The sequence below is a fragment of the Homo sapiens genome, chromosome 21, assembly GCF_000001405.40.
Source record: "Homo sapiens chromosome 21, GRCh38.p14 Primary Assembly".
Lineage (NCBI taxonomy): Eukaryota > Metazoa > Chordata > Mammalia > Primates > Hominidae > Homo > Homo sapiens.
In genome coordinates, this window is record NC_000021.9 from 44,919,941 (window position 1) to 44,945,747 (window position 25,807).

General features: G+C 54.0%; 2 protein-coding genes and 2 long non-coding RNA genes across 19 annotated transcripts in view, besides 13 other annotated features; 2 read left to right on the top strand and 2 right to left on the bottom strand.

The window, feature by feature from the left end:
- ITGB2 (integrin subunit beta 2) overlaps nucleotides 1-8,875 on the bottom strand; it is a 42,863-nt gene extending 33,988 nt beyond the window's left edge. For 2 of the 3 annotated variants that reach the window (NM_000211.5, NM_001303238.2), the window contains exon 1: nucleotides 881-959. The gene's annotated coding sequence lies outside the window, so the exon portion shown is untranslated. Of the gene's footprint in view, nucleotides 1-880; nucleotides 960-8,713 lie in introns of those variants that run through there. The other variant, NM_001127491.3, reaches the window with a different exon arrangement.
- Nucleotides 1,095-9,740, top strand: ITGB2-AS1 (ITGB2 antisense RNA 1). Of its 6 annotated transcripts, none has more exons than NR_038311.1 (5): nucleotides 1,095-1,411; nucleotides 2,973-3,043; nucleotides 6,928-7,064; nucleotides 7,685-7,727; nucleotides 7,914-9,740. It is a non-coding gene; the product is annotated as an ITGB2 antisense RNA 1 (long non-coding RNA). The 6 variants fall into 6 exon arrangements; NR_038313.1 differs by having other exon boundaries at nucleotides 1,095-1,387; NR_038312.1 differs by lacking the exon at nucleotides 7,685-7,727.
- Nucleotides 6,068-6,957: an enhancer, noted in NCBI's record as "H3K27ac-H3K4me1 hESC enhancer chr21:46345923-46346812 (GRCh37/hg19 assembly coordinates)". NCBI's record gives its function as "activates a minimal SCP1, AML or CMV promoter by ChIP-STARR-seq in naive H9 embryonic stem cells {active_cell/tissue: H9 hESC(naive)}" and the evidence as "EXISTENCE:reporter gene assay evidence [ECO:0000049][PMID:30033119]".
- Nucleotides 6,958-7,845: an enhancer, noted in NCBI's record as "H3K27ac-H3K4me1 hESC enhancer chr21:46346813-46347700 (GRCh37/hg19 assembly coordinates)". NCBI's record gives its function as "activates a minimal SCP1, AML or CMV promoter by ChIP-STARR-seq in primed H9 embryonic stem cells {active_cell/tissue: H9 hESC(primed)}" and the evidence as "EXISTENCE:reporter gene assay evidence [ECO:0000049][PMID:30033119]".
- Nucleotides 6,958-8,389: a biological region, named in NCBI's record as "CDK7 strongly-dependent group 2 enhancer GRCh37_chr21:46347045-46348244".
- Nucleotides 7,190-8,389: an enhancer, noted in NCBI's record as "CDK7 strongly-dependent group 2 enhancer chr21:46347045-46348244 (GRCh37/hg19 assembly coordinates)". NCBI's record gives its function as "activates an origin of replication core promoter dependent on BRD2, BRD4, P300/CBP, MED14 and CDK7 cofactors, with strong dependence on CDK7, by STARR-seq in HCT116 cells {active_cell/tissue: HCT116}" and the evidence as "EXISTENCE:reporter gene assay evidence [ECO:0000049][PMID:35650434]".
- Nucleotides 9,491-9,790: an enhancer, noted in NCBI's record as "active region_18581". NCBI's record gives its function as "activates an Ori minimal core promoter by ATAC-STARR-seq in GM12878 lymphoblastoid cells {active_cell/tissue: GM12878}" and the evidence as "EXISTENCE:reporter gene assay evidence [ECO:0000049][PMID:35858748]".
- Nucleotides 10,061-10,200: an enhancer, noted in NCBI's record as "active region_18582". NCBI's record gives its function as "activates an Ori minimal core promoter by ATAC-STARR-seq in GM12878 lymphoblastoid cells {active_cell/tissue: GM12878}" and the evidence as "EXISTENCE:reporter gene assay evidence [ECO:0000049][PMID:35858748]".
- Nucleotides 11,412-12,291: an enhancer, noted in NCBI's record as "H3K27ac-H3K4me1 hESC enhancer chr21:46351267-46352146 (GRCh37/hg19 assembly coordinates)". NCBI's record gives its function as "activates a minimal SCP1, AML or CMV promoter by ChIP-STARR-seq in naive H9 embryonic stem cells {active_cell/tissue: H9 hESC(naive)}" and the evidence as "EXISTENCE:reporter gene assay evidence [ECO:0000049][PMID:30033119]".
- Nucleotides 12,621-12,990: a silencer, noted in NCBI's record as "silent region_13396". NCBI's record gives its function as "represses an Ori minimal core promoter by ATAC-STARR-seq in GM12878 lymphoblastoid cells {active_cell/tissue: GM12878}" and the evidence as "EXISTENCE:reporter gene assay evidence [ECO:0000049][PMID:35858748]".
- LINC01547 (long intergenic non-protein coding RNA 1547) lies at nucleotides 13,344-19,973 on the bottom strand. Of its 2 annotated transcripts, none has more exons than NR_027128.1 (4): nucleotides 19,653-19,973; nucleotides 15,687-15,950; nucleotides 14,994-15,156; nucleotides 13,344-14,428 (listed from the first exon to the last, which is right to left on the bottom strand). It is a non-coding gene; the product is annotated as a long intergenic non-protein coding RNA 1547 (long non-coding RNA). The 2 variants fall into 2 exon arrangements; NR_027129.1 differs by lacking the exon at nucleotides 13,344-14,428 and adding an exon at nucleotides 17,599-17,742 and having other exon boundaries at nucleotides 14,785-15,156.
- The window catches only part of SLX9 (SLX9 ribosome biogenesis factor), a 37,277-nt gene continuing 31,226 nt past the window's right edge, over nucleotides 19,757-25,807 (top strand). For 3 of the 8 annotated variants that reach the window (NM_058190.4, NM_001316983.2, NM_001316986.2), the window contains exons 1-2: nucleotides 20,089-20,246; nucleotides 23,744-23,897. In NM_058190.4, coding sequence (NP_478070.1) covers nucleotides 20,118-20,246; nucleotides 23,744-23,897 — 283 coding nt within the window. In that variant the 5' untranslated portion in view covers nucleotides 20,089-20,117. Of the gene's footprint in view, nucleotides 19,930-20,088; nucleotides 20,247-20,361; nucleotides 20,708-23,743; nucleotides 23,898-25,807 lie in introns of those variants that run through there. The other 5 variants (NM_001316984.2, NM_001316985.2, NM_001316987.2 and 2 more) reach the window with 3 other exon arrangements.
- Nucleotides 19,775-20,339: an enhancer, noted in NCBI's record as "H3K27ac hESC enhancer chr21:46359630-46360194 (GRCh37/hg19 assembly coordinates)". NCBI's record gives its function as "activates a minimal SCP1, AML or CMV promoter by ChIP-STARR-seq in primed H9 embryonic stem cells {active_cell/tissue: H9 hESC(primed)}" and the evidence as "EXISTENCE:reporter gene assay evidence [ECO:0000049][PMID:30033119]".
- Nucleotides 19,775-20,433: a biological region, named in NCBI's record as "H3K27ac hESC enhancer GRCh37_chr21:46359630-46360194".
- Nucleotides 19,914-20,433: a silencer, noted in NCBI's record as "silent region_13397". NCBI's record gives its function as "represses an Ori minimal core promoter by ATAC-STARR-seq in GM12878 lymphoblastoid cells {active_cell/tissue: GM12878}" and the evidence as "EXISTENCE:reporter gene assay evidence [ECO:0000049][PMID:35858748]".
- Nucleotides 20,524-20,573: an enhancer, noted in NCBI's record as "active region_18583". NCBI's record gives its function as "activates an Ori minimal core promoter by ATAC-STARR-seq in GM12878 lymphoblastoid cells {active_cell/tissue: GM12878}" and the evidence as "EXISTENCE:reporter gene assay evidence [ECO:0000049][PMID:35858748]".
- Nucleotides 20,604-20,683: an enhancer, noted in NCBI's record as "active region_18584". NCBI's record gives its function as "activates an Ori minimal core promoter by ATAC-STARR-seq in GM12878 lymphoblastoid cells {active_cell/tissue: GM12878}" and the evidence as "EXISTENCE:reporter gene assay evidence [ECO:0000049][PMID:35858748]".

Below are 25,807 nucleotides of genomic sequence, written 5' to 3' on the forward strand. Positions count from 1 at the left end.
AGGGGCGTGGCTTCAATCCCCCTCCCACCAGGACCTTGGGAATGGCCTCCAGGAGCCTGTTGTGGGGAGGCCAGGGTCACCAGCTGAACCAACTCGACCAGAATCGCACAGCGGTGCCCGCTCCCCTACAGCAAGACGTCACCCAGGGGTCCCCACGGAGGAGGCAGGGAAGCTCGAGGGTCCCAGAGGAGCATGGAGCATGTGCCACACCACACCACACTACATTACACATGTGCACCATACATGTACATACAACAGACTCCCCACATCACATGCGCACACTCGCACACCATACATGCACACACACACACCACACTACGCTATGCCACACACGTGCACCATACATGCACACCATGCCACACTACACACACGACACTACACACCACGAACCACACCACACCATATCACACACCACACACTGCGAGTCGATCTGGAGATGGAATCGCTGTAGCCAGGCGGGGCAGCATGCAGACAGGAGGGCCTAACACAGGCAGGCGCAGCAGGTTCACAGAGGAGGCCCCGGGAACCTGCCTCCTGCCCAGCCCGGAGCACCAGGACCCCCCAGCCGTCCCCCTAGGGGCTTGTGGGCCCAGCCTCTTCCTGGCCTTGCCGGCCTCACAGCCCCTTGTCCTCCCATGCCGGCCCCATCCTCAGCCGCAAGCGCTCCCAGCACACCATGTGGCTCTGCTCTTGGTGGCAGGCACTTCCCCTTGCCGGGTCTCAAAGGGGACCCTGGAGCAGACGGTCTGGAGACCCCTTCCTGCCAGACACCCCTGGGCCGGGGCTATAAGCAGGGCCACCAGGGTCACTCCAGGCTGGGGCAGGAGAGTGCTTCCCTCCAAAAATCACCGTGGACATAGCGGGGCCTCTGCACACTCACCCTCGGTGTGCTGGAGTCCTCGGCGGTGCTCCTGGCTGGGCGTGGGGGCTTTGCTACCAGTCTGCCCTGGGTCACGTCTAGAAACCTCAGCTGGAGGCGCGGGTCGTAAAGTCCTGACACTTCCTGTTCCTCTCAGCTCCTCCTTGGAGGAAGTGGTGGGTTGCACCACCGTGGCCCTTCACCCCTGCCCCTCTCCGCTCTACAGCAGCTCTGATGTCAGAGAGCGGCCCCTTGAGACAGGTGGGACATGTCATTTCTCACATGAGGTCCCGGCGAGAAGGACCTGCTTCCATCAGATTCACACTTGGGAGAGGGGCCCGGCCTCCAGGAGCGCCAGGCAGAAAGGGCACCCATTAGGAAGAAGAACACAGAGGCCATGGGAGTGAAAAGTTTGATGCTGGAAAGCAACAGTAGCACATTCTGCTACAGAGCGGAATGAAAAACCCTGGGGAGCAAATTCCTGAGCCAGAGAATGGAGCGGAGGAACCAGCCAAGGAGGATAAAGAGGTGGGAACAGGCAAGAAAACCTGGGTGCGTGCACGCATTGACATCCACCTGCATGTGAGGGCGGGAGGGGACAGAACAGGGACAGCGAGGAGGAGACACTCAGGTCACAGGAGGAAGGCTGCGGATCTGGGCGGGGACGTGGATTGCGAGGCCACTGAACACCCCAGGGATGGATGGATGAGGTCCTGTTAACTAGGGACATTAGGAGGATACCACAGAACACGAAAGGGAAAATACTACAGGCTCAGAGAGAGAGAGAAGGGAGAGGAGGAGGAGGAGGAAGAGGAGGGAAAGAGATTATACCTAGAAAAAAAACCCAAATCAGACATCTTCAGAGCAAGGACTCAGACACATTACTACCCTAAACTCTGTTTTATTTATTTATTTATTTTTATGTTTTCAGTTTTTTTTGAGACAGAGTTTTGCTTTTGTCACCCAGGCTGGAGTGCAGTGGCGTGATCTCAGCTCACTGCAACCTCTGCCTCCCGGGTTCAAGCAATTCTCCTGCCTCAGCCTCCCAAGTAGCTGGGATTACAGGCACATGTACCACCACGCCTGGGTAATTTTTGTATTCTTAGTAGAGACAGGGTTTCACTATGTTGACCAGGCTGGTCTTGAACTCCTGGCTTCAAGTGATCCATCCACCTCTGCCTTCCAAAGTGCTGGGATTACTGGCGTGAGCCATGGCTCCCGGCTCCTAAACTCTGTTTTAAAGATGTCTTGCAGAAATAGACATGAAGAAATCCATGAGAAATACAAGAGCAGATGATACAAAGTTGGGCAAAGAAATAAGTAAAAATTATGATGTCATAACCTGTTGATTTAAAAAATAGTGGTAAGAATATTAACGCTGTGAAACAAAACGCCTAGAGGACTGGGTTGGGAGGGGCCAGGGAGCACATTGCCGTTCCATCCTATCTGGGGAGGAATATAGATGCTTGTCAGTGGGCATTTTGATAGAAAATATCTAAGTATATATGCTAACAATTCAAGAGTCTCCTTAAGAATAAAAATAGCATGTATATACCTGAAAAAAAATATGACAAATCTTTATTTTGGGCATGGTGGCTCAAACTTGTAATCCCAGCACTTTGGGAGGCCGAGGTGGGAGGATCACTTGAGCCCAGGAGTTCGAGACCAGCCTAGGCAACATTTGGAGACCCAGACCCTCATCTCTACAAAAAAATTTTCTAAGAATTCGCCAGGCATGGTAGCACGCGATATGGTCCAGGCTACTTGGGAGGCTGAGGTGGGAGAATTGCTTGAGCCCAAGAGGTTGAGGCTACGGTGAACCATGCTTACACCACTGCACTCCAGTCTGGGTAACTGAGAAAAAAAAAAAAAAAAAAAGGCAAATCCTTTAAAAGAAAAAAGTAAGGGAAAATAGAACAAACAAGAAAGGTAAATAAAAACCAAACAATAAAACATTGGGAATAATTTCAAACCCATCAGGAATCACAGCACCTGTGAATGGGTTACATTTTCTTGTTTTAAATCAACAAGGTCTTGCGTTGGGTTTTAGAAATAAAGAGACAAAACAAGTTCCAATGAAATGTTCTCTGTCAAGGGTATCTTCTCATTACAGACTTAGCCTAGAAAATAATGAAGAAGGACAGAAAGAGAATACCATTCTACTACACCCGCTGATGACTTAAAGTAAGCAATGACCCTCGCTGCGAACGTCACGGACGCAGCAGACGTTATGCACACACCTTTAATGAATTAGTCTTGATGAAATAACAATAGAAATCAAGAAAAATAGAAAGAACAAATGTTACTATTGAGCCTGAATCAGGTCGAACTTTTTAGATCTACAAAGAAGCATCAGGAGGGTGTGTTAGATGACATCGTAGGGATGCAATTAGCAAAATCCAGGCTGAAGAAACCCTCACAAGGCAAACAGCACAGTACAAGAGGAGAGACGAAGGGAGAGAGACCCTTTAGATTAAGAGATTTAATCTCTTAATAGAACCAATTGCAATGCATGGACCATATTTTAAAATCATTGTTAATTGTTTTAAGTGTGACAATGGTTTGTGGTTATGTTAAAAAGTCCCCATCTTTTAGAGTTACATGTTGAAATATTTGCAGATGGTGCAGTATAATGTTTCAGATTTATTTCCCAATAAAGAGGGGTGGGTTGGGTTGGGGGAGAGTCGGGAGAGGTGTTGATACAACAAGATCACCTGTGAGTTGATTATTTTTGAAGCCACTGTTGGGGACATGGGGCTTCACTAATCTATTCTCTCTACTTCTGTAGATGTGTGAAATTTTTTGTAGTAAGATTAAAAAAACATTTCAAGGAAGTGTAAAGTTATTATTTCGCGGGTATAAAGTTCCCGTTTTGCAAGATGAAATGGTTTTGGAGAAGTTGGTGGTGATGGTTGCACAGTACTAAGTGTCCTTAATGCCACGGAAATGCATAACTTCAAATGGTTAAAATGGTGAATTTATGTTATGTATATTTTATCACAATTAAAAAGTAAAAAGTGTAAGAAAGGCTCTCTATCAGATAAACTGTTAAAAGAGAACACTGAAGGCTGAAAATAAAGAAACGGAAAATACACGTATGTGCTAGAAAATACTAACGAAGATATCGTGTAACATCAAAAAGATAGAAATCAAAGCAAAATGCATCAAATGGACAAAGGAAGATGTAGCCAATGAGAGTCAGAATCCACAGACAGTTCAGCAGCCATAATCCTTTGTGTGCCGAACTTCAAAATATATAAAACAAAGACTGACAAATATATAAGCAAACTGACACAGCCCCAAACAGCAAATATCTCTAACAGATCTCTCTCAGAAATAAACACATCAGGCCAGTCGCGGTGGCTCACACCTGCAATCCCAGCACTTTGGGAGGCTGATGTGAGCGGATCACCTGAGGTTAGGAGTTCAAGACCAGCCTGGCCAACATGGCAAAACCCTGTCTCTACTAAAAATACAAAAATTAGCTGGGCATGGTGGCGCATGCCTGTAATCCCAGCTACTTGGGAGGCTGAGGCAGGAGAATCACTCAAACCTAGGAGGCAGAGGTTGCAGTGAGCCGAGATTGTGCCACTGCATTCCAGCCTGGGTGATGAGAAGGAAACTCTTACTCAAAAACAAAAACAACAACAAACAAACAAGAAAAAATCAAATAGAAATGCAAATTTGGCAGGTAGAGAATTTGAGGAACGTAACCATTCGTCTCCAACTTAAACACAATTATGTTACAAAGTGGGACAATGATAAACACATAATTACTAGACCACAAGGGAAATAACCACATATTCTAAAGCACAAAGACCATAAGGAGGCCAAATTCACGGACACAATTGAATGAAATTAGATGCTGTCCAAAGGATGGCATGAAAGAAAAAAAACAGCACTCCTGAAAAGTGGACCCAAATATAGCCTAGATCACATACATCCATGGTGCCACACTCACGCTACGGGGTAATGAATAAGAGCCCTTGAAGTGCTGCTCTGAAGCCTCGTGACCCACAGATCCGTAACACTGAGATTCTTCTGAAAAGCAAAATGTAGAAGGAGGCATTGAAGAATAACATGCACCTCGTCCCTGCAGACCCACACACCCCTAGAGCAGGACAGTGGTTACCCCTGAAGACAGAGAAGGCTACGGGCCTGGGAGATGGAAGCAGAGGGCTTCAAAGTTCTATTGTAGAGTTTTCTTTACTAAAAAGGAAGAAAAAGTTCTGGGCAAGTCAGGCAACATGTTAAGATTTGGTAAGATGAGAGGTAGCTGTTTGGGGATTGGTACTAGTGCTCTCCATGCTGTTCTGTATTCTTAAAATAGTTTATATCTTTTTTTTTTTTTTAAAGGAGCTAGGAGGAAGTGACTGCAAATGAGCAGAAGGATCTTTCAGGGGGTGGAAATGCTCTGAAATTAGATTGTGGTGATGATTGCACAATTCCGTAAATTTTCTTTTTGTTGCTGTTGTTTCTTTCTTTCTTTTTTTAATAGAGACTAGGTCTCGCTACGTTGCCAAGGCTATGGTGAGCCAAGATCACACCACTGCACTCCAGCCTGGGTGACAGAGTAAGATCCTGTCAGAAAGAAAGAAAGGAAGAAGGAAGGGAGGGAGGGAGGGAAGGAAGGAAGGAAGGAAGGAAGGAAGGAAGGAAGGAAGGAAGGAAGGAAGGAAGGAAAAAGAAAAGAAAAAATAAAAACTGAACTCACATGAGAACCACAGCCCACAAGAGGCAGGTCTGGACTTGTGGTCTAACCCTAACCAGACTGACTGCTAGCAAAACAAAAAGATCATTGTTGTCCAGAGGATTTTAGTAGAATCCAGAGTCTTATTAAATAATATTCAAAATGTCCATGATACAACCCAAAAGTACTCAAACAGCAACAAAGAAAACCTTGAGAACTTGTAAGAGAAAAGATAACTAATAGATGCCAACTCCGAGATAATCCCAATGCTGAAATGATCACACGGAGCATTAAAACAGCTGTTAGAGGCCGGGCGCGGGGGCTCACGCCTGTAATCCCAGCACTTTTGGAGGCCGAGGCGGGTGGATCACGAGGTCAGGAGTTCGAGACCATCCTGGCTAACATGGTGAAACCTCGTCTCTACTAAAAATACAACAACAACAAAAATAAATCAATAAAAATAAAATTAGCTGGGCATGGTGGCGGGTGCCTGTAGTCCCAGCTACTTGGGAGGCTGAGGCAGGAAAATGGTGTGAACCTGGGAGGCGGAGCTTGCAGTGAGCCAAGATCGTGCCACTGCACTCCAGCCTGGACAACAGAGCGAGACTCCGTCTCAAAAAATATATATACAATAAATAAATAAATTAATTAATTAATTAAATAAAGGCTGGTGGAGGGAGTGAAGGGGAGGGGCTAGGGACCGTGGGGCTTCCCAGAGCCGTGACCTTGCTATGGGGGGACCCAGACCTCCATTCCGGGGACTCACTCAGCACTCATCTTACTATCCCCCATCTGATGTGCCTGTTGCACAAGGCTGGAAGTCAGAGGCTGTGCACGTTTTTCTTTGTGGAGACAAGTGAGTAATTGGTGCGTTTAGTGTAAAAATATCAGGTGTGGCTGCACGGAGTGAAAAATCACAGGCTCCACGGAGCCGGGAGGCCTGCTGCCCTGCCCTCTTGCTTTGATGAGGAAATGGCGACCGCAGAAGGAAATGTAGCAGCACCGGCAACCGGCATCCGTGGGGCCACGCCGGGCTGCTTCCCAGGGCCCTCCAGCCAAGCAGCCACAGGAAAGAGTAGATGTTGATCCCAAGCTAGGACTGAGGAGTCCGTCCCTAAGAGCCGAGGGAGTCAGGTGGGCGAAACTGGCCGCATGTCTGGGTACAACTGCTCAGGGTTTCTCATCTGCTGAATCACCAAGCTAGGTTCTGAAGCCAGGCGTGAGTGAGCAGGACTGGAGCAGGATTCTGGGAACAATCTTTTCCCTCCAGTCAGCCCAGAAATTCCATTTGCAGTCACTTTCACTTATGTATTCCAGAAAACTACCTGCTGTCATCAGGGGTTGGTTGGTTGAGCCTTTCCCTGTGCTTGCCTGGCAGACCTGCGTGCTCTGAGGCTGCCCGACCCTGAGCTCCAGAACAGACCATCGAGTTCAGGAGACAAGCATGTCAGCCATGACACAAGGCAGATGAGAGGGACCCCCAGCGTCCACACGTGGAGGCAGCGGGGGCAGCCGGTGAGCATAGATGGGGAAGGAGATTCAGAGCCTGAGGGCTGCTCTCCTGCCCTCCCATCCTGGACACTGGCCTGGGCCCCCCAGCTTCCCTTCGCCCAGCTTCCACCCCCATAACACACAACCCCAGAGCTTGGGAAGGAGGTCTCTCTGTGACAGGTGGGATTCTGGAAGTTTCCACGGAGGAGACCCCATAGGAGCAGGGTTTGAAGGTCAAGAAAGATGCTAAGGATGGAGAGGGCCAGTGGGGAGAGGGTGGTTCCAGGCTCACTTCACAGAGGTGCTTGGGGAGCTGCAATATTTTGGCAGCACCAAGGGAAGAGTCAGGTCAGTGAGGTTCATAAGGGATGAGAAAGGAGTCTAACCAGCCCTGGAGACCCCTGGGGTCTGGCCCCACAGGGAGATGTCCAAGTGGCAGAAAGTCCCTTCCTGCCTGGAGAGCACCCCCACGAGGACCCTGGGGCCACCCGGGAACCGCTGCTCCCTCCCAGTCACTCACCACACTTCCCTCTCCCGCCCACCCTCCAACCTGCCTGCAAATTCCCCTGCAACCCAACTCTGGTCTCCTCCCAACCCTGCCCCCACGTAGGCCTTTTTTTTTCTTTTTCACTTCTTCCCCCCAGTGACTTCCTTCTGCAGTGTTGATTCAGCTCCCTTTGAAGGCGGGTGAGACCTTTTGCAGGCTGGGGGCAGGGGCGGGGGCGGAGAAGAGGGCTGCAGGCAGGGCTGGCAGAGGGGAGGAGGTGACACACACTCCCTGGAGGCGAGTGGGGAGGGCTCGGGGCAGGAAATGGAGTTGGGTGCCCCAGGTGGGGTGCTCCAACGAGCTCTTTCTCATGGGATCCCCCACAGATCCATACAAACAGGCTGACCATCAGGGCTGGTCCCAGGCCACCAGGCTGGGTGCAATGCAGAAATGGAGATCTGCCCCGGGGAAGGCAGGTGAGTGTAGGAAGGAGGGAGGGCTGCGAGAAGCTGGGGGCAGCCTCCATCCCCCTGTGGCCTGGGTGGGCCTGTGCCCCCCCAACCCCCCGACGCAGCTTCCCACACTGGGAGCACAGTTCCTCCCTCCTCTGCCTTCCTCTGCGTGGTGTGGCTCCTCCTTGAGGGAGAGAGCTGAGGAGGTGGCATTCTTGCTTCCCTGACTCACCCAAAGGAAGATTTCACAGCCCCTGGCAAGGGCTGCCAGACAGGCTCACCTGTCACCCCCTGTCCAGGGACAGACTGACCGGTAGCCTTGGCTGGGTGGGGAGTTATGCTGGGAAGTCTTCCAGGCCCCCTGGGGGTGGGAAGATGCTCAATGTTCAAAGGAGATGGAACGAGGAAAACAGTTAAGCAACGATGGACTCCAGGGGGAAAACCGGAGAAGAAGAAACTGTAATTCCAGTCCGTCCACATGGCCCAGCAGTGAACGACAATTGCATGGTCAGAGAGAGCAAAAGCACCACGCCGACTGAAAGCAGCTCGAATGTGGTGGGGCAGTGGGAGATAATGCCCTCATCTACCAAAACAAGATCTGCCACCTTCGCAGACCACTAAACCTCATTCCTCCACCCACCTCCCCACCCCCATGAAGGCCAACTGACCAGAGAGCAGGGCTCCCGAGGGTCGGGTCGGGTCGGGTCGGGTTGGGTCGGGTGGGTGCCTCTTACCCTAACTGAGGCTCTGCCCTGGACTCGGAGTCCACTTGCTGTCAAAGCATGCCACTCTTCTTTCTGATACTTGACATATTTCTTTTCCCGTTCAATTCATGGTTTCTGCCCAAACGGAGCCACGTGAGGACTTCTTTGGGGATGTGTCTCCAAGAAAAGTGTGGGCTGCCTTCCTCACCCTGGATGCCTGTGGGCAGCCTTCCTCACCCTGGATGCCTGTGGGCAGCCTTCCTCACCCTGGATGCCTGTGGGCTGCCTTCCTCACCCTGGATGCCTGTGGGCAGCCTTCCTCACCCTGGATGCCTGTGGGCTGCCTTCCTCACCCTGGATGCCTGTGGGCAGCCTTCCTCACCCTGGATGCCTGTGGGCAGCCTTCCTCACCCTGGATGCCTGTGACTTGGTTTCCATGGGGGCTTCCTAAGCTCAGGGACCCCAAGCCTCCATCAAATCTAATGACCCGCCTTGTCTCTGAACACACCTGTGTTGTCCCCGAGCCCCTCACCAACCCCCTCTGCAACCCGGCCCACGCATTTCCCATCCTGAAGGGTCCAGCTCATAGGCCGGCCCATGTGTTCCCTTTACCCCTGCTTTGTCCCTACCTGGTGGGGAGCTGTCCCTTCTGGGCCCTAGTGTGGCACTTCACACACAAATGTGTCCTGTGGGTGGTATCTGGGCCTCCCCCTGCAGTGAGGGGATGACCAATGTGCAGAGCTCACTGGGCCTGGATATGGGCTCGGGTGGCACAGAACAGAGAGAAAGTGCTCCGTAAAAGTGAGCTGCGATGCGGAGGTGGGCAAGCTCTTCCCTGGAGGGGGAAGAGCTCTCAACCCAGAGGGATCTGACCAGGAAGGTTCACCCCCCCTCCACCCAGGAAGCCCCTGCAGACAGTATGTGTTTTAGGCTTTGCTGGCCAAATGGTCTCTGCCGCGACTACTCAGCTCTGCCATTGTGGCTGCAGAGTGACCATAGACCTTCTGAAAGTGAATGAGTATGACTGTGTTCCAATAAAACTTTATTGACAAAAACAGGTGGAGGGCCAGCCTAAGGGCCCAAGTTTGTAGGTCTCTATTCTAGACCAGTGATTCTCTGGAGAGGAATGGGGCATGGGGAGTGGGGACAGTGTGTGGGAGAAGAGGTGGGACACAGGCACGTGGGAATGGTGCGGACATGGAGGACATTGGAGGTGGGGAAGAGCTAGAGAACCTAAACACTGACGCTGGACCCTGGTCAACACTAGGTCTCTCCACAGCCTCCTCTTTTAGCCTCTCCCTCCAGTTTCAAAATGACTCCTCCTCTGAGGGGACTCAGGCTCCCCACCCTGCTCCCCAGTTCCCACCAGAAACCCCAAGTGGGTGTTCCAGCCTCTGCCCCACAAGGCCCCCATGGAAGGCAGCACCGCCAGGCAGGGACCTTTCCTCGCTGCCCCTCCCTCTTCCAGTTCTGAGTCCTGTCCCGGAGATGACCTCTCAACCCAGAGGGACCTGACCAGAAAGGTCTGGCCCCCTCCACCCAGGAAGCCCCTGAAGGCTGGAGGGCAGCCCTCCCCCCTCCCTCCCCCTGTTAGTTTTTCTTTCTGATAGAAACAGCAGCAACCGCTAGGCACCTGCTAGGCAGGGGGCTGCACAGCCTCAGGTCAGTTCCTGAAAGGCACCTTTTTCCATTTGTAAATGAGGTGACAGGTCTGCCTCCCAGGGATGAGCAGATGAAGGGTTGGGAGTGCAGAGCCTGGGAACACGGAGTGGCAGTGGGGACTGGGGCCCAGAGGCTGCTGAGTGAGGGAAGGCTAGGGGCAGTGAAGCTGGTGAATGAGGCAGGGGCAGAAGACAGGGTGGGGGAACATGCCCAGCGAGGCTGGTGAATGTGGCACTGCAGGGGCAGGGTGGGGGACATGCCCAGCGGGGCTGGTGAATATGCCACCGCAGGGGCGGGGAGGGCAGAATATGCCCAGTGAGGCTGGTGAATGCGCCAGGGGCAGAGGGCGGGGAGGGGGAAGATGCCCAGCGAGGCTGGTGAATGTGGCACTGCAGGGGTGGGGTGGGCGGATGCAATGATGAGCATTTCCTCCCTGGGGCCAGCAGAGCAGGGGTGAGGCTGAGTGGGTATATTACTCCGATTTGGGTGGGACCCCATGCAGTCACACGTGGGGGACGCAGGGCTGACAGCCTTGCATGACCCTTTCACACTTTAGCCATAGCAATGCCAAGCCCAGAGAGGCTGCAAGGCCCTGGGGAGAACAGAGGCCCCGGAAGGGGTGGCCAGCTGGGCTTCACTGCAGTCCTCACCAGACAGGATTGAGATTTTAACGTGTTAACTTGTTTTCTGTCTTTTCCAAATTGTTTATGGTAGCCATGCATTAATTTTATAATCAGAAAAGCATGTTATTATAACTCAAGTTAAATGGCTCCAAAACAAAAGTACCCAGACCCCAGAGCCTGCCCCTCTCTAGCTGGAGAGAGGGACGAAGTATAAGGAAAAGGAACGGAAAGCTGAAAGGACCCCCGGGCTCTGGAACCCGACCCAAGGGTGATGCCGCCAGGGCTACCAGGAAGCGGCTCCGTGCTGGGCTCAGCCGGTCTCCTACCCACCCCAGCACACCTCAGCCCCCAGCCTCTTCCTCCCGCGCCTCCCCCGCCCTCACCACTTCCTCTCAATGGTCCCTGGGGATTACAGCACGATTATTTTTATTGCAAGAGTTTCCCAATGCGGGAACTCACAGCCCCAAAGAGTTTGCATCTGAGCTTCCTGTAGCATCCTGGGGCACGGACAGGCGGAACCGGGCCATCAGCCGTCCCTGCGCACAGAGGCGCACAGATTGGATCCGGCCTCGCAGTCCCAGGAGCCAAGAGGGGAGGCACGCGTGCCGGTTCTCGGAAATTCATTATGGGAATGTGCGCGTTGTGGAGATGCTCAGACCGCGAACAGTACTGCGGGAACCCAAACGATCATTTTTAACCCCAGACGTCCCTGAACCAAAGCCAAAGTCTACAGGTCACTGGGGCAGAGGCCGCCCGAAACCAGCTGTCCCCTCCCGGCCTAGGCGCGCCAGGTCCCCGCCCAGCCGGGGCGATCCTTTGGTCGGACAGTGAGGTTGGGAGCCCACCGCACCCAAGTGCCGCCGCATCCACCCGGCGCAGGCGACCCCCGACGGGCAGCCGCTCACCTTCTCCTGGCCCCGGGCTTCAGGAAAACTGCCTGGAGGTGGCCGGGGTCTCCCTAGCGGAGGCTGGGCGGCGGGCTTCGCGCCTGCCTCAGTCTCCCAATCCGTGGCCCGGGGGATGGAGCCCGCTGCGCGCAGAGGCTGCGGCAGGTCCCAGCCAGGTGCCCTGGAACGTGGCTCCTCCTTCCCTGAGGCGCTCCCCTGGGCACGAGGATGGGTCTCGAAGCAGGAGGAAGCCGCCTTCCCTCACCCGCTGTCCGGAGCTGCTCAGCCGGTGCGCGGAGCCTCCCCCGCCGCGGACACCACGATCCGACCCCCACCCTGACCCCGACCCAGACCCCCACCGCCCGACCCCGGCCGTATTCCGTTGCGTTTGCTCCCTGCCAGCTCCGGGGCCACCACTGAGCACGCGCTGTGAGTAGGCGCTTCCTGGAGCTTTTCCTGGGGGTCCTCAGAAAAACCCCTGCCGTCCCCATTATAGAGATGGGGAAACTGAGGCTCAGGAAGGCCAGAGCTTGCCCAAAACCTGCGGTCCGCGGCGGGCAGGGATTCCACGCTCCGAGCCTGGCCGCCTCCCTGGGGCGCGTGAAGGGAGCTTTCCTTCCCCGGGAAAGGCCGGGGCCAGAGACCCGCACTCGGACCAGGCGGGGGCTGCGGGGCCAGAGTGGGCTGGGGAGGGCTGGGAGGGCGTCTGGGGCCGGCTCCTCCAGGCTGGGGGCCGCCAGCTCCGGGAAGGCAGTCCTGGCCTGCGGATGGGGCCGCGCGTGGGGCCCGGCGGGGCGGCCTCGGGAGGCGTCCAGGCTGCGGGAGCGGGAGGAGCGGCCGTGCGGGCGCCAGCGCCGTGGGTGGAGGTCGCCGTCCCTCCTGAGGGGCAGCCGGTGCATTTGGGACCCGGGAGCAGAGCCCGCGCCTCCCCAGCGGCCTCCCCGGGGGTCTCACCGGGTCTCCCGAGAGCGGAGGCCCCGGCTCCGCAGAAACCCGGGGCGGCCGCGGGGAAGCAGCGCCCTCAGGCGTCGGAGGAGCCCCCAGAAGGACCTCGCGCCTCCCCGCCGGGCTCCGACCGCCTGGGTTCGGTGCGGGACGGCCCAGGCCGCCAGGACCCCCAAGCGCAGCTCAGTCTGCGGGGCACGACCCAGAGGCCAGCAGCAGAGGACGGGGCCGGGGCCGGGAGAGGGCGGGGAGGGCGCTCCTGGGAGGTCAAGGCCAGGGCTAGGCTTTCAGGGTCATGGCCTGGCCCCTCATCCCCAGGGAGGTGAGGGGGCTCTGTGAGCAGAGGGGCCCCGGTGGAGAAGGCGCTGCTAGCCAGGGGCGGGGCAGGAGCCCAGGTGGGGACTTAGGGGTGGCTGAAGGGACCCTCAGGCTGCAGGGATAGGGAGGGAAGCTAGGGGTGTGGCTTGGGCAGGTGCTGGGGGACCGCGGGCGCCCTTTATTCTGAAGCCGAATGTGCTGCCGGAGTCCCCAGTGACCTAGAAATCCATTTCAAGATTTTCAGGAGTTTCAGGTGGAGACAAAGGCCAGGCCCAGGTGAAAATGTGGCAGTGACAGAGTATGGGGTGAGAACCACGGAGAGAGGAAGTCCCCGAGGCAGATGATGGGACAGAGAGCGGGGACCAGAATTTTTTAAAACGCATCTGAGATGCGTTTGGCAGACTCATAGTTGTTTTCCTTTCACGGAGAAAGTGTGGGCAGAAGCCAGCTCTAAAGCCCAGGCTGCCCAGCCTGCACTGGCAGAGCTGACGGAAGGCCAGGGCAGAGCCTTCCCTCCCTGTCACAGACATGAGCCCTGGAGATCTGGAATGAGGCAGATGTGCCCAGGGAAAGCTGATCCGCCCCGACCCAGGGCCCCCCGGGTGCCCCTTTGAGCGTGGAATCGTTGCCAGGTCATGGCTCCCTGCTATCGAACACCGGACATGGGTCGTGTGCTGCACCTGGCAGTTGCAGGACCGACACCCGCAATGCCTTAAGAGGTGATGACTGCCTTCCAGGGGCCTGGCTGGCTGACACTTTGCATGGCTCCTGGAGAAGAGGGATTGAGTGGAGTCCACGGGTCATGGCCACGTCCTGGGTGCTGCCTCTGAGGCAGGGCCCGGCTGGGGTGAGAAGGGGCTGGAGACAGGTTCCTGCCAGTTCAGCCTCTAACCGGTGGTCTTCATGCCTAGGAACCCACTGGGGGCTTATGAAACTGCAGGTGGCTGAGTCCTTGCCATGGGGTCTCTCCTTCAGCAGGTCTGGGTGGGGCCGGAGACTGTACCCCACAAAAGGTCCCAGGTGAGGCGGATGTGGCCTGGCGCTGTGTGGCTCTGGACCTAGTCCTTGGGCTTGGGCTGGCACCCAGGGCCTGGGCTTGAGACAGCTGTGACGCAGGCAAGCCATTTACCCCGTTTGTGGGGACATTACATCTTCCTAGCTTGGAACACACAGGCAGCCAGGGTTGTTATCCACATTCCTCCTCCATGTTCTTCTCTTGAGAACTTTTACCAGGTATGTCAGGAGCTGGGCTCCACCAGGGAGACTCAAGTGGAAAGCCCTCATCCTTGTCCTCCAGGAGACAGGAAAACCTATGGTTACAATTCCAGGGACAAGAGCGATGCATGTGAGGTGTGGCAAATCTCACTGTTCAACTGGAGAAATCAGAGACAGCTTCCTGGAGGCAGTGACACCTGGACAGGCTTCTCCACAGGAGGAAGCGAGTGAGAGAAGCCAACTGGGATGGACCCATCATGTAGGGGGAACAGTGCGCGCAGAACCAACAACCACCCCCACCCTAGGCCCAGAGCTCACGGAGAGAGCTGGGCCTCTCGGGGTGACTACATAGTTCCCTGCTGGATCTTAGGTCTTGTCCTTGGGCAGCTCTGCTGAGACCTCTATGCCTGTTCCAGGCTGCACCAAGGTTTTGTGACTATTGACCCTTGACTTTGAGTTGGGAGTTGCTGTATTTTTACTAAGGGATGGAGAGACACAGCCCCCAACCCCCAGGGAGCTGGGCTGGCTCTCCTATGGCTCAGCCCATAGCTCCAGCCCCAGGGATGTCCAGAGGATCAGAAAACTCCCTCCCTCCTTTAAAGCAGCTACTGGCAGAGTCCGTGGAGCTCTTGGGGGCTGGGAGACAGGCAGGAAACCCACCTGGCAGGCAGGCAGGAGCCCATGGGGGAGGGTTGATCTTTGATCTTCCTCTGATGGCCCAACGGGAACTGTGAGCACCCAGCCGCTCACTGGGACATCTCGGTGCAGGGAAAGGGCTGAAGCTGGCGCAGCCACGGCAGCATCCCCTCTCGTGGCAGTGCTCCTGAAACAGAGACGTGGTCTGGGCAGCATGCTGAAAGGCATTTCTGAATGAAGCCTCCTACTGACCTAGAGCCAGCACACACCACTCCAGGGGCAGAGAGGAGAGAGCAGGAGCAGGAGACAGTCCAGGGCAGAGGCAGGCTCTGAGTCCATGGAGACCCTCCCTGGGGCACCCCCTGCATCTGCAGGGGTCCAAGCCTAGCACTGGCTCTGCAAGGATTCAGCCACTCATACTGTGCCCCCCCAGCATGGGGCATCTGTGGGTCTCCCTGAAGGTGGGCACCTGGGCAGCCTTCCTGAGGGGTCAGAGCATCCTTGCAGGCATCAGTGATTCCCTCTGTCCCTTTCACCACTGGCCATGGCTGGAGCAGAGCAGCACCGCATGGTTTGGCTCTGGACAGCTGTGAGGCCCCATGAGGCCCAGCATGTCTGCAGGGGCCTCTCCTAGCCCCCTCTCTGCATTCTGAGGCTTCACTTGTTGAACAGAAAGAGGTAGCAGAATCCCAAATAAGAGTGCAACATGTCACCTACCAGCTCCAGCGCCTGGGGGCCAAGTGTGGACTCAGAGCTTCTGTCCAGCAGAGGCCCCTGATGTGCAGCTGCACCGAGACACCCAGGCAGGGCGTCACCTGCAAGGTCAGCTGCAAGGCTGGGACTGGGGTTTGTAATCGCTGTTGTCTCTTGGCCTGCAGGATCCTCACGCGTGCCGCTTCGGTCCTGATGGGCAGGACGCAGGTCTCTCACTAGACCAGTGTTTCCCTCTGTGAGGCCTGGAGAGGAGCCTTCTGGCCACTCCTGGGTACAACACGAAGGGAGAAGCAGACCTGAGTTTTTTATTTTTACTTATTTTTTTTTTTTTGAGACAGAGTCTCGCTCCATCGCCCAGGCTGGAGTGCAGTGGTGCGATCTCGGCTCACTGCAAGCTCCGCCTCCCCGGTTCATGCCATTCTCCTGCCTCAGCCTCCTGAGTAGCTGGGACTACAGGCGCCCGCCACCACGCCCAGCTAATTTTTTGTATTTTTAGTAGAGACAGCGTTTCACCGTGTTAGCCAGGATAGTCTTGATCTCCTGACATTGTGATCTGCCCGCCTCGGCCTCCCAAAGTGCTGGGATTACAGGTGTAAGCCACTGCACCCGGCCAGGCCTGAGCTTTTTATATACACCAACTGCCAAACATTCCACGTGAATTTCCTGAAACTTCTCTTTGGAAAGCTTCTGTTTGTATGTATAAGGCAATGTGCATGCCAGCATGTCAGTTACAGCAGGAGAGAGGGAACAAGCCATGTGGGAACTGATGGAGCCATGTCACATCCAGTGTCCTCTGCAGCCGCTATGGAGTGCCAGGAGGAATGAGGGGCAAATGGTAAGATCTTTATGACGTGAGAGAAGCCAGGTGCGGAGCAGGGAACAGTCAGGTTTAATTGGTGTGAAGAACAGGATCACTGAAAAATATTTTCTCATAGATAAAACTCTTTTTGTATAAAAGTCTACAGAATTGCGATAGGAAACCCATAATCATGGTTTCAAGTGGGCAGAGAACTAGGCTCTGGCGTCAGGGGAGGAAGGGGAACTGTTCACTGTCAACACCTTTTAGGACGTTTCCATTGGGATCGAAGGGTGGCTCACTCTGCCACTTTGACATAAGAATCACTTCTACCTAAGGCACTTGAAAAATGGCACAGGCAAGAGCATCATCGGATCTCTCCTTTTCTTCCTGAAGACAGGAGATAAAAACGCTCAGGTGAAAGATGCCTTCCCTGTACCGGGCGAAGAAAGATTCCTCTACAGGGAAGCACGTCATAGCCAACAGAATTCTGTACAGACATTAAAGTAATTAAAGTAATTCCTGTCGTTCTTAAGCCTCCCCACACGGTTTACTTTTCCACAACTGCCTCTTTGTTCAGCCTCCTGCAAAAGCACATAGGTTTCGTCACTTCTTTGGGTCTTTGCTTCCTTAGGAGGGTCCTGTGTGACATCAAAGTGACATTAAATTTGTATACATTTCTCCTGTTAATCCATCTGATTTCAACTTAGTTCCCAGGCCCAGCCAGGAACCTAAGAGGAGGGAGGTGGATATTTGCCTCCCCTACAGTATCGTGTACGTATATGACTTTTTAAAAAAGAAAATCTGGGGCCACATGGCAGTGGCTCACGCCTGTCATCTCAGCATTTTGGGAGGCTGAAGTGGGACGACTGCTTGAGCCGAGTTCAAGATCAGCCTGGGCAACATAGGGAGATTGTGTCTCTGCAAAAAAAAAAACCCAAAAAATTAGCCAGGTGTGGTGGCACATGCCTGTGTTCCCAGCTATTCAGGAGGCTAAGATGGGAGGATCACTTGAGCCCAGGAGGTCACCATTACAATGAGCTATGATTGCACCACTGTTCCAACTTGGGCAACAGAGTGAGACCCTGTCTCTTAATTTTTTTTTAATTAATTAGTTACCTGATTAACACAGTTCCTTATTGGTGAGGGATTCTCTACTGTGGTCCTTCTGCAGTCCCACCCCATACATGAATGGCTTCTTTTGAAGCTTCCTCCTTTGTACAGGTGAGTATCTTTGTCACTGTCTTACTCTGTTTTGTGCTGCTATAACAGAATACCACAGACTAGGTAATTTATATAATGAACTGAAATTTACTGGCTCATGGTTCTGGAGACTGGGAAGTCCAAGACAGAAGAGCTAGCAACTGGCAAGGGCCTTCTTGCTGTGTCATCCCATGGTGGAACAGCAAAGAGAGGGCAAGAGTGTGCCAAAAGGGGGGCAAACTAGTCCTTTTATGAAAAATACTTTGATAACAAACCCACTCCCATGATAACAACATTAACCCTTTCCTGACGGTAGAGTCCTTGTGGCCTAATCACCTCTTAAAGGTGCCACATCTTAATACTAGTATGATGGCAATTACATTTCAACATGGGTTTCAGAGGGGACCAACATTCAAACCATAGCAGTCTCAAACACTGGGCTGGCAGTGGAAGAGGAGGCTGATCTTTAAAGAATATAAATTTTTTTTTTTTGAGACGGAGTTTTGCTCTTGTTGCCTAGGCCAGAGTGCAACGGTGTGATCTTGGGTCATTGCAACCTCTGCCTCCCCGGTTCAAGCGATTCTCCTGCCTCAGCCTCCTGAGTAGCTGGGATTACAGGCATGCGCCACCACGCCTGGCTAATTTTGTATTTTTAGTGGAGATGGGGTTTCTCCACGTTGGTCAGGCTGGTCTCAGACTCCTGACCTCAGGTGATCCGCCTGCCTCAGCCTCCCAAAGTGCTGGGATTACAGGCGTGGGCCACCACGCCCAGCCAGAATATGTTCTTTAAAAACAGGCACAATTCCATGAAGTAAACTCACATTGGAATGGTTAACAGGTAAAGTGATCCAGCTGGCTGAAACAATAGGCATTCACCGGCATCCAAAGTACATAAAGATGAGCACTTTGAGACTGCGCCACTGCACTCCAGCCTGGGCGACAGAGTGAGACTCTCTCACCAAAAAAAAAACGTGAGCACTTTCACCTCAAGAGTCGCTAGGCTCAGATGCTGAATGCACCCTGAAGGAACTCTAAAGATACCAGCCTCTGGAGTTTTCACAGCCAACAGCATTCCTAGGTAGACTGGTTGAGAACACGGCTAGTTGGAGGGTAAAAAGAATGACTTGTGAATGCTCACTAGGTCTTTGAATATGTAAGTAGACACGACTTCAAGCCAGTTGCTCAGCCTTGAATATATCCTAGAGTCCATCACCTTGGGCTGTGAGTGGCTTGTGCGGTCATCTGTCCATCTCTCAGCTGGGCGAGAAACTTGATGTCCTTTCTGAGAGGTGGCCCTGGCTCTGCCTGGGACCTGCTACTCTTCTCCAAAGTGCATTTTTTGTGGGTGGGTTTTCACTGTGGGTCCTGGGCAGGTGAGTGCTGGTGCCCAGTGTTGGGGAGCAGGGTAGATAGAGGTGTGGCTGCTACCTGGCTGGGCCCGGACTTGGCAGCCTTCCTTCATGGCCCTCAGCCACAGCCTGTTCCATAGTTTGTTCTCGATGTGTCAGCTTTGTGTTCCCATGAGAACAATGGGCTCCTTGAGGACAGGCATTGCATCGTACCTGTGGTCTCTTCCCTAACGCCCCCCAGTACGCCCAGCATAGACAGCACAGGGTGCAAGCAGTCAGATGAGCAGGGCTCCCGTTCCCAGCACGGGACCCAGCCCGTTACCTCGCTGCTATGTTTCCCACGTAAACGGAGCAATACCCAATTCTAAAGAACTGTTCTGAGGACTAAATGGAATAGTGTAAAAAATAAATTGACATGAAGTGAAGGTCAATTAAAATGCACTAGCTTGGCCAGGCGCAGTGTGGCTCATGCCTGTAATCCCAGCGCTTTGGGAGGCCGAGGAGGGAGGATCGCTGGAGCCCAGGAGTTTAAGACCAGCCAGACAACACAGCAAGATCCCGGCTCTAGCAAAACATTAATAAAAATTAGCCGGGCGTGGCGGTGCCCACCGGTGGTCCCACCTTCTCGAGAGGCTGAGGCGGGAGGATCGCTCGAGTCCTGGACGTCGAGGCTGCAATGAGCCGATTTCGCGCCATTGCGCTCCAGCCTGGGCGACAGCGCGAGACTCCTTCTCAAATATAGAATTTTAAAAAGGCCATCTCGACTGCCGCGGGGGTCGCGTCCTCTCCATCCCCGACCTTGGACGCAACCCCGGGCTTGGGTCCCCCACGATCTAGACAGAAACTCGTTGTTTCTCGTGCTCCGCGCCACCCGCGTCCTCCGGTCTGTTTCTCCCAGGTGCGTCGGTGAAAGGCGGAGCGCCGCCACCCTACACCCGCGACCCTGCGCCCGCCCGAGCCGCTTCCGGGTACTTCCGGCGGCCGCGGGGCTCCCGGCAGCCGCGGCTCCTGTTTCCGCCGGGCGGCGAGAACGCAGGACCAGCTTCCGGGAGGCGCTCCGCACGTTTGCCGTGCTCCGCCGGGAAGATGGGGAAAGTGAGGGGGTTGCGCGCCCGAGTGCACCAGGCTGCCGTGAGGCCGAAAGGGGAGGCCGCCCCCGGCCCCGCGCCCCCTGCCCCGGAGGCGACCCCTCCGCCGGCCTCGGCCGCGGGGAAGGTGAGCTGGGGAGGCGCTGGCCGGGGGCTGCCGCGTGGGTCCGAGGGCGGGTGAGCTGCGGGGCGCCGCCTCCGGGAGGGTTCCGCGACCCCGGCCTTCCCTCGGGCTCTGCGGGCATTTGCTGCGCTACAGACGCGACCTTCTTGCTTCGCGAAGCGTCGTAAACTCCGAGGCTCCGCTCTGCGCTGCCGTCCTGGGCACACGGACTCGCGCCGCTCCCGGGGAGGGGAGAGAGCCAGGAACCTCCCGCTGCGGTCCAGGGTTGCCACGCGGACCCCAGAGGTTCCTGAATCGCACTGAGCTCCCCGGAAAGGAAAGGACGTTCCCAGAGTTAGAGAAGAACGGAGAGCAAACTGAAGAGAGACCCCGTTCCCTTTAGCAGTCGGCTGGCCTGTTTCTCCATCCCCCTCAGCCCTAAGCAAGCACGAATCTACCTTTTGTCTTTATTCTAGACACTGCATGTGAGTGGAATTATTGCTTTCAGGATTTTTTTTTTTTTTTGGCTTTTGCCTTAAATATTTTGACCGATGTGTCTTGGTGTAGGTATCTGCATTTATTTTGCGTGTTCACTGAGCTTCTTGCGTGTGTAGGTTAATGTTTTTCGTTACATTGGCAAGTCTTCAGCCATTATTTCCTTGAATATTTTTTTCTGCCCCTTTCTGTCACTCCTCTCTTTCGGATACTTCCATTATAAATATGTACGTCGTGCTTAATGGTGTCCCACAGTGCTCTGAGGCGCTGTTCACTCAGTTTTTCTCTTTTCTTCAGATGGCATAATCTATCTTAATTCAAGTTTACTGATGTTCTGCCAGCCCAGAGGTGCTTTTGAACCTTTCCAGTGAAATTTTCATTTTTTTTGACTCCAGAATTTATTTACTTTCTTTCTCTTCTCCTGTTCCTCCTCATTTTAAAAAATACTCTTTACTGATGTTTTCTGTTTGATGTGAGAATGTCATTATACCTTCGTTTAGTTCTTTAGACACGGTCTCTTTTAGTCCTTAGAAATATTTATAATGCCTACTCTGAATTCTTTACATGTGGGCTGCTCAAAGCAGTTTCTGTTGCCTGGCTCATGCTGGCAGGTAGGAGCAGGTGGGCCTTCTTTGAATGTATCACTTTTTGTGGAAAATTGGGCATTTTGGATAGTCCTGTAGCAACCAGGGATTAGTATCTGCTTGATTACTTTGTTTATTGATCTGGAACTGAACTATGTGACCTCTCTCCTTGTCCCCTTCTGGCTGTGTGCAGCCTCTGATGTGCCCCCTTGGTTTTTTTTTTTTCTTCCTGTTTTTCTCTTTTAGCCTGGCTAGTTGGATCTGCTTAAGCTCCTCACTGGTCAGCAATTGTTCTTAAAGCCTCCTTGGCCAGGGGGTTTTTGCCTTTTACCACTGGATACCTCTGGCTTGGAGGTGGCTGTCAGATTCAGCGTGTTCACATTTTTGACCTTCATTTCTGCCCTCAGAGGCACAGCCAAGGACTAGTAGCTTACAGAGTCCCTCTGCTCACTCCTGGTAGGGTGCGTCCTTGAACATGCGCACAGCCTCCAGACTGCCAGGGATGCGACCTCCTGGGAGTTGTTCCTGGGTCAGAGGGGCTTACTGTCTACCCAGGAGCCTTGGGCACCCTGCCCTCTGCATCTGTCACCACCCAGAGCTCCTTCCTGGTCAGCAACACCCTTAGGCGTGAGAGCCCTCACACGAGCTGCAGACAAGGCGAGTCCCTTCTGGCAGAGCTATGGAGTTCTTCCTTTTTGCAGCCTACCGCTCCTGGGCAAGAGCTCCGTGTCAGGACACCAGAGATGGGGCAGGAGCAGCTTCAGCTTCTCAGGTGACATCTCTCTCTACTAGCAGGAGAGGGGCGTGCCTTTAGTTGTCTTGGCTCATTGAAACCTGTGCCAGCATTTTTTTATTAAGCTCCAAAAATATGCATTAATGAGATATAAAGTGCTACCATGGAGAATGTCCCAGGTACAGTGGGAAAAGCAGTCGTCTGCCGTATACCAACATACATTCATGATCTGGAAGGCTGCATGCTGCACCCCTTGTCCCCACCTGGTCCCTGTTTGCCTGTGAGGCCTCAGCCTACCTGTGCTGCCTCAGCCACCTGCCTGCCCATCTGAAGGCTGCCCTGGTCTCCAGCACTGTTCCCCCGTGAGTCTGATATTTTCCCATGTACCGACTTTTCTGTCTCTGCCACGTAACCCTCCAAGACCAAGGACTTCTCCCTCAGGTGCTGTGGGTGAGGGAGACCAAGGACTTCTCCCTCAGGTGCTGTGGGTGAGAGCACCTGGGGAGTTGCAGTCCAGCCTGGCACCTCTTGGTGCCCTGGCTGCCTTCTACCTCATCTGCATCCTGTCTCCTCTGTAATGTGAAGGAGGCCATGTTTTACCTCTACCTTCAAGGTTTTTAGGTTGGGCCTGAGATTTAGAATTACATAAAACAGATTAACAGGAGAAAAGCGTACCCATTCATTGAAGTTTTATGTGACATGGGAGCCTTATAAGGAAATGAAGACAAGGAAGTGGGAGAACTTTGTGCTTCTTTGAGAGGGTGAGAGGTTGAACGGAGGTGGTTGTGGAAAACTAAACCACATGGGGAGGCTGCAGGAGGGGAGGGGTTGTGTTCACCAGGTGTGTCTGTACAGAGTGCTCTTGGCTCCTCTGATCCATCCCTGATGATAAGAATGTCACTTACCTTCTGGTGTAGGAGGGCATCTTCCATATGGGGGTTTTATCTCCTTTCAGGAAAAACAGGGAGGGGGTTAATATGCCCTCTTGGTACCTGCTATATTTTTAAGTGCCTTTAGCTCAAAATAATTAGTGACATGTTTTGGGGTGGCGTATTCTGACCCCCTTCAGAAACCTCTGTTGAGGTCGATGCTGCCTTCCCTGCCAAGGTCAGTGAGGCTTGCACATGAATGGGCTGGGCAGCACGGGGGTCAGGGACGGGGGGGTTCTGTCTCCTCACGGTTTGGTCGGCAGCTGACTTGGAGGAACTGAAATCTTCATGCAGGGATGAGTGTGGCTCAGAACCAGACCTGGCAGAGAGGCTGCTGAGATGACTAGTTCTGATGGGATGTGGTCAGTCTGAGCTGAAAGAGCTGTCAGGCTGGGAGCTGCCTATCCTTCATCTGCTCAGCTGCAGGTTTCTTCTGTGACACAGGAGAATGTTGTAGAAAGAGTAAGACGAAATGGTTGGGAAGGAAATTTGGTTCTTGAGATACTGGTCCTGACTCCTGAAGAACCAGGAGTGAAGCCCGTCTGGTGATTGAAGGCAGGGAGCAGGTGGGCCTGGGCGCTGCGGGTCTGCCCTGGAGCTCTGGAACCGGAGGCTTCTGCTCTGGGAGGTGAGGGTTGTTTCCCCCAGGTCCTCCCGGGCAGAGAAGCTGGGGAATCCAGGTTCTTGTCTTGCATCTTCTCCTCACCTTTAACGTCCCTCTGAAACCACAGAGCAAGTCTCACACCTCTTCTTTTCGTCCGTTTTTGTTGGGGACATTAGGACTGGGCGTTCATCAACACCAACATCTTTGCCAGGACCAAGATAGACCCCAGCGCCTTGGTGCAGAAGCTGGAGCTGGACGTGAGGAGTGTCACTTCCGTCAGGAGAGGTGAGGCAGGCTCGAGTGCACGGAGCGTCCCTTCCATCAGGAGAGGTGAGGCAGGCTCGACGGGTTACCATGCTGATACCCAGCAGGTCTGGGATTGTTCCCTCAGGCACCCGAGGTCTCAGCAGCTTTCCAGCTAACCTGTACCTGACAATGTCCTTGAGCAAGGGATGCCCCTGGCTGTTTCTTGGGGCGATTCCCCAGAGTAGATTACAGCTGTGGTTTTGCCCCTGGGCTGCATCATGTCTCCGCAGCTCTGCAAGAACTGCTCTGCGTCCTGGCAGCCACGCTGAAGCCACAGGAACTTGGGCTTTGGTGACCAACAGGGTTTGAACTGTTTTCTCCGTGTGTGCTGATTCTTTCGGTCTGTCTGTATGTTTGGGGCAGTTTTGATCCTTTTCTTAAACAAGTGCTTTATGTGTTGCAGAGGTTAGCTGCTTATCATTTTGTACAAATAACTCTTGAGGGTTTAGATCCTGAAGCCGAAGCAGGGTCCTCTCAGTTTCATCAGATCCATGCGCAGCCCTTCCCGTCTCCTGGTTGTGCTCCTTGCAGCCCTGCAGCACACACGTCAGCCTGGCCAGTGAGAGGGTCTGGGAACTCCCACTCACTCCAGTGTCCGGAGCTTAGCAGGGAACGCCGTCCCCCTGCACCTCCTACTGAGTCTGAGGTGTTTTAGAGAGTTCCCGGCCACCATGGTCAATGCTGGGAGTGTTGACTTTCTGGCTGGAGGATGGTGAGCAGTGTCACTTCCCAGGGATAAATCCAGGAAAAAGCTTCCTTCACTCATCTAAGGGAGTCGGTGAGGAGCACAAGGAATACTTTTTACATCTTGACAGCCTTGGGAAGTCATAGGTTGGGGAGGGAGAGGGCCTGGCTGTGGGGGCAGAGCTCAGGGCACCAGTGTGACAGTGAAGACTGCATGTGGCTTCACAGTCGGCAGAGCTGGGAGCGCCAGGACAGGGCAGGAGCCGGGTCTGGGGCCTGTAGATGGCCCGTTAAGATCGTGGGCTCTGGGCCTCTGCCCCTCACCGCCTGGTAGCCTCTGGCTGGACACTTGATCGCTCTGGGCCTGGGCTTTGCATCTGTCAAAGGAGGTAACAGTATTTATCTCCTAAGTTCTGGCAGTTTTGAGTTTGAGATGAGGTAGTTGGTGTGAAACGTTTAAAACAGTGCAGTGAAGGCTGTGGAGGCGCCCGCTCTGCATCTGTTGAACGAGGCTGGTCTGGTGGGAAGGCTGGGGACGAGTGGGTTTTGCAGCTGCCCAGAGGTGGGCCAGCCCTAATTCCTTGGGCACAAGTCATGTGATCACGGGTGCTCTGTGACCCTTAGCTCCATTGTCCACAAAGCGGCGACAGACATAGCTCATAGATGCTAAGGGCCTCACTGTGCCTCTAGAAAGATCCAGGTACATTTAACCAGTGCAGGTTTCCTGCTCCTTCTCTCCAAGGAGGACCTGGTGAGGTGACCAGGCCAGGTAACTCCAGAGAGAAGCTGTGCCTTCCAGCCAGGAACGCTTGATGTGGGTGGTCCGCCCGAGCTGTGTCCCTGGTTGCTGACAAGGCCCTTAAGGCTGTCCCCAAGGGGATGGGAGTCGTGGGTCTCAGTGACCTGGCTCTGGCCTGAGCTTCTCAGAGCTCTTTCACACAGCAGCCTCTTTCCTCTGCCTTTTCTTGGCCCTCTCCCTTCAAGCCCCTGTGGCTCATCTGGTCCCCAAGGTCACCTGCTGCACTGACTGTCACGTCCCCTCTTCCCCTCCTAATTTAGGGAGACGTCACGCTCACGACCCGTCTTGCCTACCAGGGAAACTCCTCTTTAGCAACATCTGGCCTCGCAGCGTTCTTGGGCTGAGGTCGTGCCCAGCAGCCCTGTGGCCTCTCCTTTGAGCCATGCTGGATCTTTGTTTTTGTTTGTTTGTTTTTTGTTTGTTTGTTTGTTTGGAGACAGAGTCTTGCTCT